General features: G+C 39.9%; 1 annotated feature.

Annotated features, from left to right (window-relative positions):
• Positions 3,027-3,952: an enhancer, noted in NCBI's record as "H3K4me1 hESC enhancer chr18:64106439-64107364 (GRCh37/hg19 assembly coordinates)". NCBI's record gives its function as "activates a minimal SCP1, AML or CMV promoter by ChIP-STARR-seq in primed H9 embryonic stem cells {active_cell/tissue: H9 hESC(primed)}" and the evidence as "EXISTENCE:reporter gene assay evidence [ECO:0000049][PMID:30033119]".

Here is a 5,651-nt window from a genome sequence, read left to right as displayed (position 1 = left end):
TCTACAGTATTACAAGGAGAATGAATTTCAATTCAAGGGTAAAAGAAATAAAGATGGCTTGCCAATTAAGCTGTGATATTAAATGTATCCGTGGAGGCTGGATACAGGAGCAATTGCAATATGATTTTTGTTTGTCTGTTTGTTTGACTTTTACCTTACCTTTCATTCAACAAACCAATCATTGTTGAGTGTCACCTCATACAAGTGAGAACACCTTGGATTCAAACTCATGTTGAAATATTTTTCTATAAATATTTTCTATAATATAATTTTTAAGAAAATTCAGTTATTAACTCTGTGAGCTACTTAGGAACATCACATAAATTATGCAGCTGCAAACTAGATAAAGTCAGACAATTTATGTCTTTTTCTTTGAAAAATAATGTGTCTTTAGAAAGAGAAGTTCTAAAGTGGCCAATTGTGCAGTCCCTTCTTGTCTTTGGGGATTATATTCCAAGACCATCAGTGGATGCTTGAAGCTGCAGGTAGTATCCAATTACCTTCTATCAGAGCACATTTCTGTCCATGTCTTCCACCAACAAATTTAATGCCTTTTCCATCTTAACTAAACACCTATCACAGACTAACTTTTGCAGTTTCAGGTGCAACAAAAAAACTATCATAAATTTCTTTTCCTTATTCATAATTTCATAGATAGAAGATTTGTTCTTACATTAGACCTTTGCAACTTTAGCATATGATTTTTTTTCCTTTTATTATTAAGTGGAGAACTTTCACTTTTTCACATAAAAGTAGCTCTTTATGCTTTTCTTGGCATATCCAAATAGCCAGCATCACTACCCTTACACTTTGGGGCCATTATTAAGAAAAATGAGGGTTACTTGAACTCAAGCAGTGTGCACTGTGATATCAATCTGATCACCAATATGGCTGCTAAATGATTCATGGGCAACTAGCATGTACAGCCTGGATACAATGGACAAAGTGATGGTTCATATCCTGAGCAGGAGATTTCATCACATTACTCAAAACGACGTGCAATTTAAAACTTATGTATTGTTTATTTCCCAAATTTTCCATTTAATATTTTCAGATCAAGGTTGCCCAAAAGTAATTAAAACCAAGGCAAGGGAAATCAAAGATAAGGGGTGAACTACTTTGTGTCCAGGAGTAGAGACTTTGTATAAAATGCTTCCAAAGCACTCCAGTGCCTAATTACAACAAGTACCAATACCTGGGCCATCTTGGGCATTTCCCAGATAGTCATGGAGGTCTTGTAATAATGATTTAATTATTGATAATAGCAATAACATGTTTCTTATTATAAAGTTAAAAGTTTAAACCTGTACATTAAATATAATTTTATGTGTAAGATCACCTAAATAAATTTGTGAAGAATGCCATTTTTATTCCTCAAGTGTAATATTTTATAATTTTATTTTGACTAGGAATTTAGAATTACAAAATGGGCTATATATACATAATAAAATTAGACATGTGGCAATTTTCTATAAACAATTTCAAGATTGTAAATTCCTATATCTCCAGAACCATGATTTATCTTTAGCATCTCCACAGCATAAAATACTTTTTTAAAGGAAATCAGTAAAAAAAAAAAAAGAAATGATTTAACTATAAAATATAAATATTCAATAAAACACAACTTTATTGGTTTACCTGAAATTGACATATTAAGTTAGGCTGGATGCTGTGGCTCATGTCTGTAGTCCCTGAACTTTGGGAGGCCAAGGTGGGTGGATCACTTGAGCCCATGAGCTTGAGTATTCTGGGCAACATGGTGAAACCCTGTCTTTACAAAAAATACAAAAATTATCCAGGCATGGTGGTGCACACCTGTAGTCCCAACTACTCTGGAGGTTGAGATGGGAGGATCACCTGAGCCCAGAAGGTTGAGGCTGCTGTGAGCCATGGTCATGCCACTGCACTCCAGCTGGCAGAGGGAGACCCTGTTTCAAAAATAATAATAATAATAATATATATGTATATGTATATATATGTATATGTATATATATATATACATATAAAAACATATCCTTTGTTCTTTTGAATAGCAATGTTCTCTCTTTATTAAAATAATAATAGAGATATTTTCAAAATGTTTAAAATGGCATTTATCTTTGAAACATTGTCTAGAAAACTAAACTTTAAGTTGATACAGTCCTTAAGTTCCCTTTAGGAACAATGCTATTTAAATCCTTACTTTGGCTTTGATCTAAAATTTTATCATTTCCACATGAGCTATAAATATCATTACCCTATCACATATAGAATGCATGGATTCTGTCTATACAAAATATTCAGAGTTTATTCTATGACAACTTCAAGAGACTGAGGATTCCCTATCTTTCTGATTAACCTACTACATTTTGAACTGCAACTACTTATGTCACAGGATCCTTTGGGTGTTGCTTCACCAGCCGGAAACCTCTGTGGCCAGTCACCCTTTAGCCCAACTTTTGCTCAGATCCGCTGGGCCCATTCCACCCGCTCAGCCTGGCAGTTTGTGCTCAGCTTGCTCTACTAGCCTGGATCCCATGACTGCCAAGGTCAAGCCAGGTGCAGAGCAGAGAGGGGTGTGTGAACAAACAAGTGCAGAGTCCAGCCACTGTGCAGAGCCGGGTACGCTGACTAAGCAGGGTGGGCAACCCCAGGCACCAGCACAGGCACCAGCTCCCTGTGAGGCTGTGGCTTGACCAGGCATACCATCAGTGGATTCCACTGTAGGTACCACAGAACACGGTGGTGCCCAGAAGCTTGCAGGCACCGGGAACCACAGAGCCCCAAAGAGGGTGTCACAGTTCTGCCTCAGGGAGCTCCTAGGTTTGGCCTCCCCGAAGGGCCACAGCTCTTCTCTCCTTCTCTCTCCTTTCCTTGTCAATTGCTATGTGATGAGCAGCCCTGTTTGTGTTACAGCTCTCTCAGCCCTGACACTGGGTGGGTCTCAAGTTCTTTATTGTGCCCAGGAATAATGAGGTACATGGACAAGTGGAAGGTAAGCAAGATGAAGAGGTGCTTTACTGAGTGACAGAACAGCTCAGAGGAGACCTGCAATGAGTAATTCCTCTCTGCAGGCAGGTCAGCATGATGTCTGCCCCAGTCTTGCTGAGTCTGGGGATTTTATCAGCTTCAGTGGGGAGGAAGTGCATGCTGATAGGCCGAAAAAGCACCATAAGTTCTCACTCTGGTCTGCATAACTAGCTGCCCAGCCCCCAGGCTTTAGGCCTTCCCAGGCCTGAAAGTGAGGCTTCACCAGGGACTGGCCCCTTCCCACCCAAGAGCCCATCTGCCTCCTGCCTCCATCAACCTGCCGTCCACGACACCCATGCTATTCATGCCGAGGGGTGCCTGCGGACCTGCACCGAGCTGCCCTAAGCACCCTCTCAGCCTCCCTCCCATGCTTGTTGGGACCCAAAGTTTGGAGGGGACCAAGGTGGCAGGGGTATAGTGTGTCAGCAGTGCCCCAAGCACACACACACCCGGCCAGGTCCCAACAACAGCTAGGTTCAGCCTCAACTTTGCTCCGAAATCGATGCAGGTGCTGGGAATGGGGAGAGACCAGGGTGCAGGAGCAGGCATTTTTGAGCCTGCAAGGGCAGGGGGTCTTCCTGGTCCCTGAGAGCACAGTCCAAAGGTACAGCTGGGCTGGGAGGCTGTAGCTGAGCCTGGGAGGTTGGTCTCACCCTTCCAACTTGGAAGAGGGTGGGGCTTCCACCTGTTCCTGGCCCCCACTGGCTCCCCCTGGCTCCATGAAGCACAGCCACATCTCCCCTGCTGCTGCCAGCATCTTTGCAGCAGCCACTCCAGATGGGCCACTGCTGTCATCACTTATAGAGTGTGTTTATTTAAATTGAGCTAAGAACTTTTAACCAAGTAATCAAGATTTTCTTTGGAGGGCCAGAAAGAGCAACATGTGTCTCTTTGAATATTGGAAACAGCTGGAACAGCTATCATATTCTCATGAGTCTCTTTTATCCCATAAACTAATGAGCTACAAGTCCTCATATGACATGGTAGTGAATTACCACTTCATCTGGACCAATCTTTATTAAGCTGCTTTTAATTTGCAGATACTGTTGTTTGCACATATTTTTATTTAAGTTTAGTGTCATAAATAAGTGCTAAATCACTGGTGGCATCATCAAAGCACTGTTAATTTATATAGTTTTCTTCTTTTTAGGTGGTAAAAATCTTCCTGACAATTTCACCTAGCCACATTTCTTCATGCCATAACCAAAGTGTTGACATGTTCATAGACTATTTCAGTCACACTCACACTACTGCATGCTGAGCTTACAAGGCAAAATCTGTACCCTCCAGGAATTGTCCTTTGGCGAGAAAAACAGAATGAATACACAAGTGAATAACATCTGCATTCATTCTTTTTATCATGAATTGTATCAACTAATTAATGGAATAATAATGTTTGTTGGAATGGTATATTTCTCTTACTAAGAACTCCTAATAATATCTGCAGTACCAAATAAGGACATTTATCATAGTACAAATTAAGAAAATGAATACAGGCACAAGATACTGTTAGCTTTCTAGCAGAAATTTTTCCTCCAGCCCTTCATCATGGGCACATGGTCAAACTGCTTTCTTTGGTCTGTCTTGCACTCAGATGTAATCATTTGACCAGCCAATGGAAGGTAAGTAGAAGTGTCTCATTTCTGAAAGAGGTCTCTTTAATCATATTTTATTCATGTATCCCTTTCTTTTTGGGATGCTGCTCCCCTGGAGATGACAACTGGCCCTCTCTCACGTCAGTGGTGAGTAAGCTGTGGGAGCACATGGTCCTGAGTCTCTCAATCAAAAAATAGAGAAGAGTGCCACACAGACCTAAGATAACTGCCCTACCTGCAGCATTAGGTGAGAGAGAAATAAACTCCTCACAAGCTACAAGCTTTTCCTTGAGTATTTCATGCCATAGCATCTTAGCTTAGTGCACATTTACTAATACAACAGCAAAACAATGAATTATATGACAAATATGTTAAACAGCAGTTTCATAGACTGGATCCTAGGACCCGTGGTTGAAGCGAGCATTAAATGAGAGGTCAAGTACAGTTTCTCTAGCACAGGCCTATATTTCTTTATGCAAATTCAATCATAAACATACACTTTTATTTTGTAAATGTGCCAAGAAATATTCTGTACCAATACTATGGGCACTAAAATGCGAGTGAGTTTCATTTAGCCTAGTGTGAACAATGAAAGCCAGGAGTGTATTTGGCAATTAAGGTGAAAATATATAGTATTTCAATTGTATTATAAATAAAGTAAAAATAGCAATCCCAACAGTCTTCAGTGGGAAAAAAAATCTAATATATGGGTATCATTACGATTCATACTAGGAAATACAAGTACAATAAAAACTTATTAAGGAAGTTTCATCCATTATTTGCCAGCCATTATTTGTCAATATGTTTTGTCATAGTCCTAAGATTTTTCTGTTCATGCTGTTTGAGGGACTGGCTCCATGATACCACCTTAAAGTGATTGTACTGTAATTGTTCTCTTTATCACTCATGAGATTCAATTTCATGTTTCATCTGCTTCCTCGATTTCCTGTTGCTACATAGTGAAATGTGTTCTGATCTTCTAAAAAATGGATGGATGTCAACTTTAGCAAATGCATAGATTTTCAGGATAGAATTCATCTAGTAAGG

Source organism: Homo sapiens, chromosome 18 (genome assembly GCF_000001405.40).
Source record: "Homo sapiens chromosome 18, GRCh38.p14 Primary Assembly".
Taxonomy (NCBI): domain Eukaryota; kingdom Metazoa; phylum Chordata; class Mammalia; order Primates; family Hominidae; genus Homo; species Homo sapiens.
This window is presented reverse-complemented; position numbering and strand designations above follow the sequence as displayed.